We start from the raw sequence: 4,777 nt of genomic DNA on the forward strand, positions 1-4,777 counted from the left end.
ACAGATTAAAGGAGATGAGCACAGACGTGGATGTTCCTGCAAGAAATCCACTGTGATAACCCAGGTATTGATGATTGGTATTGATGGCATGATTAGGGAGGGAACATTAGTGACAGAGAGTGATGGCTGGATTCTACTCAAGAGAATTTTCTCATACCCTTTATGAGGAGATGAAAAGTTCAGAGTGGAGCAGAGAAACAGAGAAAGGCTAAACGATAGACTGCTTTGCAACACAGAAATGTTCCAGAATCACCTAGCATACTGCTAGGTTTCTAGTCCTCTCCCACCCACGGCCCCCTAATCTGTCTTTTTTTTTTGAGACGGAGTCTCGTTCTGTCACCCACGCTGGAGCGCAGTGGTGCGATCTCGGCTCACTGCAACCTCCACCTCCTGGGTTCAAGCTATTCTTCTGTCTCAGCCTCCTGGGTAGCTGGGATTATAGGGGCCTGCCACATTTTTGTATTTTTAGTAGACACGGGGTTTCACCATGTTGGCCAGACTGGTCTCAAACTCCTGACCTCAGGTGATCTGCCCACCTTGGCCTCCCAAAGTGCTGAGATTACATGTGTAAGCCACTGCACCTGGCCGTCTTTTTTTGAGACAGGGTCTCACTCTTTGGCCCAGGCTGGAGTATAATGGCACAAACACAGCTTACTGCAGCCTCGACTTCCTGGGCACAAGCGAACTTCCTGCCTCAGCCTCCCAAGTAGCCAGGGCCATAGGCGCATGCCACCATGCCCAGATAAATTTTTTTTTTTTTGAGACGGAGTCTTGCTCTGTCACCCAGGCTGGAGTGCAGTGGCACAACCTTGGCTCGCTGCAACCTCCGCCTCCTGGGTTCACGCCATTCTCCTGCCTCAGCCTCCTGAGTAGCTGGGACTACAGGCGCCCGCCACCACGCCCGGCTAATATTTTTAGTAGAGACAGGGTTTCACCGTGTTAGCCAGGATGGTCTCGATCTCCTGACCTTGTGATCCGCCCGCCTCGGCCTCCCAAAGTGCTAGGATTACAGGCTTGAGCCACTGCGCCCGGCCATTTTTTTTCTTTTTTTTTTTTTGAGATGGAGTCTCGCTCTGTCGCCCAGGCTGGAGTGCAGTAGCGCAATCTTGGCTCACTGCAGGCTCCACCTCCCGGGTTCACGGCATTATCCCGCCTCAGCCTCCCAAGTAGCTGGGACCACAGGCACCCACAACCACACCTGGCTAATTTTTTTTTTTTTTTGATTTTTAGTAAAGACGGGGTTTCACCATTCACAGGATGGTCTCGATCTCCTGACCTTGTGATCCTCCCAGCACTCTGGGAGGCCGAGGCGGGCAGATCACAAGGTCAGGAGTTCAAAACCAGCCTGACCAACATAGTGAAACCCCATCTTTACTAAAATAAATACAAAAAAATTAGCCGGGCATGGTGGCAGGCACCTGTAATCTCAGCTACTCGGGAGGCTGAGGCAGGAGAATCGCTTGAATCCAGGAGGCACAGGCCGCAGTGAGCCAAAATCACGTCACTGCACTCCAGCCTGGGCGACAGTACAAGACTCTGTCTCAAATAAAAAAAAAAAAGAACTAGTAGAGCTTAAACCTGGGCAGCGGTGACAGGGATGGAGCCAGGAAATGGATCCAAGAACCTGTCTTGGGGCTGGGAGCAGTGGCTCACGCCTGTAATCGCAACATGCTGAAGGCAGAGGTGGGAGGATCACTTGAGCCCAGGAGTTGCAGACCAGCCTGAAAACATAGCAAGACTCCATATCTATTAAAAAAAACAAAAAACAAAAAAAACAAAAACATAAAAAACACCAAAAAACAAAACTGGGCTGGGCTCGGTGGCTCATGCCTGTAATCCCAGCATCTTGGGAGGCCAAGGCAAGTGGATCACCTGAGGTCGGGAGTTCGAGACCAGCCTGGCCAACATGGTAAAACCTCATCTCTACTACAAATAGAAAAATTAGCTGGGCGTGGTGGTGCATGCCCGTAATCCCAGCTACTCAGGAGGCTGAGGCAGGAGAATCGCTTGAACCCAGGAGGCGGAGGTTGCAGTGAGCCAAGAGGCGGAGGTTGCAGTGAGCCAAGATCCCTCCATTGCCCTCCAGCCTGGGAGACAAGAGTGAAACTCCGTCTCAAAACAAACAAACAAACAAACAAACAATAAACAAAACTGTCTTGAGGTGGGTCGGGGAGGATATCCAGTGAGAAGCTCCAGATAACTACATAATGATGACTGACAGATCAAAACATTATCCCCTGACCAAGTGCAGTGGCTCATGCCTATAATCCCAGCACTCTGGGAGGCAGAGATGGAAGGATGGCTTGAGCCTAGGAGTTCAAGGGTGCAGTGAGCTAAAACTGCGCCACTGCACTTCAGCCTGGGGGAGAGAGTAAGACCCTATCACAAAAAAGAAACCAAACCAAAATAAAAACCTTTACCTCCTCCTAAATAAGGAAACTAAGGATCAGAGGACTGGTATTATTTGCCCAAGGTATTGTAATCTTCCTGCCTTGGCCCTAAGATACACCCCTACCAAAACAACAACTACAACAACAACACTTTATTTTACCTTGAGCTTTAAACTGAAGAGTTTCGCTTACAGCCTCACCACTGGCATCCATGTGATATCGTTTGGCTTTTTCTTGTAATACAGCATCAAAAGTCTCCTGTGTAATTCGTCTGGCTGCCATGTTATTTTGCCCTATGGTGAGAGAGAAAAAAATACACTAAGAGCAACAACTTGGAGCTGGGCGCGGTGGCTCATACCTGTAATCCTGGCACTTTGGGAGGTCGAGGTGGGCGGATCACCTGAGCTCAGGAGTTCGAGACCAGCCTAGGCAACATGATGAAACTAAAATACAAAAAATTCAGGCTGGGTGTGGTGGCTCACACCTGTAATCCCAGGACTTTGGGAGGCTGAGGTGAGCGGATCATTTAAAGTCAGGAGTTGGAGACCAGCCTGGCCAACATGGCAAAACCCTGTCTCTACTAAAAATACAAAAATTAGCCGGGCATGGTGGTGCCTGCCTTTAATCCCAGCTACTTGGGAGGCTGTGGCAAGAGAATTGCTTGAACCCAGGAGGCGGAGGTTGCAGTGGGCCGAGATCATGCCACTGCACTCCAGCATGGGTAACAGAGTGAGACTCCGTCTCAAAAAAAAAAAAAAAAAAATTTCACCAGGCATGGTGGCACGTGCCTGTAATCCCAAATACTCAGGAGGCTGAGGCATGGGAATTGCTTGAACCAGGGAGACAGAGGTTGCAGTGAGCCGAGATCATGCCACTGCCCTCCAGACTGGGGGACAGAGCGAGACTGTCTCAAAGAAAAAAAAAATGCGTGCTCACAGAACCTGCTCTATTTCACTTAATCCTCGAAGTAAGGAGGCAGTAATCCATAATCCTCGCATGGTACTTCAGAGGCAAGCTGGACCCTTTTTATTTATCTTTTTTTTTTTTTTTTTTAAGTAGAGACAGGGTTTTGCTAGGTTGGCCAGGCTGGTCTCGAACTCCTGACCTCAAGCAATCTGCCCACCTTGTCTGGACTCTTTTAAGGGGGTCTCTGCCCTCACGAAGTTCACAGGTGTGTGCTGGCTGAAAAGGAGCAAGACAAACCTTCTCTGGGCCCATCTCCTTGGAATCCATTAAAAGCAGCTCTGTGAAAGCAGTTCTATCTGCTGGAGGAAGGTGTCAACCAACACACATAACTGAGCATAACAGAGTAGGAAGGGTGGGACCACAACCCTCGCAAATCGTGGTTAGGAAAGAAGAGATCAATCTTTTTTTTTTTTTTCTTCCTTTTTTTGAGACTCTCCCTGTTGCCCAGGCTGGAGTGCAGTGGCATGATCTCGGCTAACTGCAACCTCCGCCTCCTGGACTCAAGCAATTCTCCTGCCTCAGCCTCCTGAGTAGCTGGGATTACAGGAGTCCGCCACCGCATCCGACTAATTTTTATATTTTAGGTAGAGATGGAGTTTCACCATGTTGGCCAGGCTGGTCTTGAATTCCTGACCTCAAGTGATTCGCCCGCTTCGGCCTCCCAAAGTGCTGGGATTCCAGGCCGTGAGCCACTGCGCCTGGCCCAGGATCACTCTTTTCCCATTCACAGACTCAGCAGGGCACAGAGGCTCTGAGAACTTCCTTCCCTTCTAAAAGAAGCCTCTTGACAGTGAGTGGCGGGACCCCCAACCAATGACAATGAACTAGTGACAGTTCATTCTGCGCTGGGTCCTTGCGCGATCTCCCAACCACCCACTGAAGAGGCGGGTCCTGTTATGAATGACATTAGGGTGAGGAGGCAAAGGGAGACAGACTCAACGACCCATTCAAGACCAGACAGCCCAGATTTGAACCTGGCAAAAAGGGTATTCGTGCATCCAAAGCCCCGAAGAATGAGTAAAAAGATTAAGCAACATTTTGGGGTCCAGGGGCTGCATCCTTAACCATCAAGATATCCCGCTTCGCAAAACCTCCAACTTCAAGAGACAACCCGTAGGGTCCATTTCCCATCACGATCACCGCCTCCCCCACCCGCCTCCCCCAGTCCCATCCTTCAGCCCTTTTCCCGGGGCGCCCCCTTGTTCTCTGCTGGCAAAGGGCAGGGTTCCCGGGTCAGGTGACCCAGGTTCAAATCACACGATTCTAAGCTTTCTGTGCTTCCGTTTCCCCACCTATGGAATGGGCAGCCAGTAAAGGGGCTGGTGTGGGGGCTGAACCGGTTCTAAAGAGGGCAAGGGCCCGATGCAGCGCTGGGCGCCGTTATCTCCTCCCGAGCGGGGGCCGCTCCGAGTTCGGGAGGA

General features: G+C 50.5%; 1 protein-coding gene across 40 annotated transcripts in view, besides 3 other annotated features; it reads right to left on the reverse strand.

Annotated features, from left to right (window-relative positions):
* Nucleotides 1–4,777, reverse strand: part of SUGP2 (SURP and G-patch domain containing 2) — a 42,958-nt gene that overhangs the window by 37,513 nt on the left and 668 nt on the right. For 39 of the 40 annotated variants that reach the window (XR_430124.5, XR_001753576.3, XR_007066515.1 and 36 more), the window contains exon 2: nt 2,552–2,683. Coding sequence is in view for 13 of the 40 variants with exons in the window: in NM_001321698.1 (NP_001308627.1) it covers nt 2,552–2,683 (132 nt within the window). In the remaining 27 variants the exon portion in view is untranslated. Of the gene's footprint in view, nt 1–2,551; nt 2,684–4,648; nt 4,724–4,777 lie in introns of those variants that run through there. The other variant, XM_047438027.1, reaches the window with a different exon arrangement.
* Nucleotides 3,850–4,351: an enhancer, noted in NCBI's record as "NANOG hESC enhancer chr19:19143058-19143559 (GRCh37/hg19 assembly coordinates)". NCBI's record gives its function as "activates a minimal SCP1, AML or CMV promoter by ChIP-STARR-seq in naive H9 embryonic stem cells {active_cell/tissue: H9 hESC(naive)}" and the evidence as "EXISTENCE:reporter gene assay evidence [ECO:0000049][PMID:30033119]".
* Nucleotides 3,850–4,357: a biological region, named in NCBI's record as "NANOG hESC enhancer GRCh37_chr19:19143058-19143559".
* Nucleotides 4,278–4,357: a silencer, noted in NCBI's record as "silent region_10427". NCBI's record gives its function as "represses an Ori minimal core promoter by ATAC-STARR-seq in GM12878 lymphoblastoid cells {active_cell/tissue: GM12878}" and the evidence as "EXISTENCE:reporter gene assay evidence [ECO:0000049][PMID:35858748]".

The sequence above is a fragment of the Homo sapiens genome, chromosome 19 (assembly GCF_000001405.40).
Source record: "Homo sapiens chromosome 19, GRCh38.p14 Primary Assembly".
Taxonomy (NCBI): domain Eukaryota; kingdom Metazoa; phylum Chordata; class Mammalia; order Primates; family Hominidae; genus Homo; species Homo sapiens.